This window comes from Homo sapiens, chromosome 9 (genome assembly GCF_000001405.40).
Source record: "Homo sapiens chromosome 9, GRCh38.p14 Primary Assembly".
Taxonomy (NCBI): Eukaryota; Metazoa; Chordata; class Mammalia; order Primates; family Hominidae; genus Homo; species Homo sapiens.
The window spans coordinates 2,904,131-2,905,198 of record NC_000009.12 but is presented as its reverse complement, the minus strand read 5'-3'; the positions used below and the strand labels follow the sequence as shown (position 1 = coordinate 2,905,198).

General features: G+C 39.8%; 1 annotated feature.

The window, feature by feature from the left end:
* Positions 485-1,068: an enhancer, noted in NCBI's record as "NANOG hESC enhancer chr9:2904131-2904714 (GRCh37/hg19 assembly coordinates)". NCBI's record gives its function as "activates a minimal SCP1, AML or CMV promoter by ChIP-STARR-seq in primed H9 embryonic stem cells {active_cell/tissue: H9 hESC(primed)}" and the evidence as "EXISTENCE:reporter gene assay evidence [ECO:0000049][PMID:30033119]".

Sequence of the window (1,068 nt, the reverse complement as noted above, 5' to 3'; positions counted from 1 at the left end):
CAATGTCAATTTGCTATTACAGCATCTGAGAGGAAGCACGTGTGTGTGTTAGGAAGAACTAAAATAAATTGTGTTACCCAGAGGAATTGTTGGTAATTTAGCACCAAAATAACTTTTTCTCCGTTTGTTTTTTGTTCTACCATTTTAGGACACTATAAACACTACTGATATGCAAGAGCATACCATCTGGGCATCATTGATATACTAGAAACATTTCAAGATCAGCGAATTTATTACTAAAGGCACAAACATCCACCATTGCATATAATGTGAAAGTTTCTATTTTTCCTTGGTGGGGTGGAAAACTTTATTTTGAAAATTAATTATCTTAAAGTGATTTGAAAATAAAAGAAAAGCTAACAGTTATTCCTAAAACTGAGCAAGAGGACAAAAACACTTCATCACAGAGGACAAGCTCTCAGGTAACCTGGCAGATTTTACAAGAGCTTTGAGACTAGTGCTTCATTCAGTGGCTGGGTCACTCACTATGTCAGGCAGCAGAAATGCAGCAGATTGGGACAGATTCAATCCCTGCCTCCAGGAAACTCATATCGTAGTGGGAGGGAAGTAGGCATTAAATAGCTTGATGCATAATTAATTATCATAATTGCAATAAGTGATATGAAGGAGAGGGAAAGGGTGTTAAGGGAGCATTTAGTGGGAGACCTAGAGCAGAGTTGCAGAGTTAATCTGTAAAACAACCACCCACAGTGACCCAAATCCAGAAACAGCTGGAGGTGCTTTAGAACACAAGAAGAAACCTGTGGTACATTGTTACAGAGTGACCCATTTGAAGGGAAGGTGGGGCTCAAAGTTTCCTATTGAAACTTAAAAACTTCGTCAAGGATGGCCTCTCCAGCAAAGCTTTTCCCAAGGCTGAGTTAGATGCCTCTCCCACATCACTCAAAGACCCCTGCACAAACATCACTTTTATGGCATCTGGATGAGGTTGGTCTCAGTTATTGTTTAACTTGTCTGGGACCCCTAATACTTTGAGCACAAGACCTTGTCTACTGCCCTTTGTAACAAAGTGTTACACAAAGGTGCTGGATAAATGTTTGGTGAATG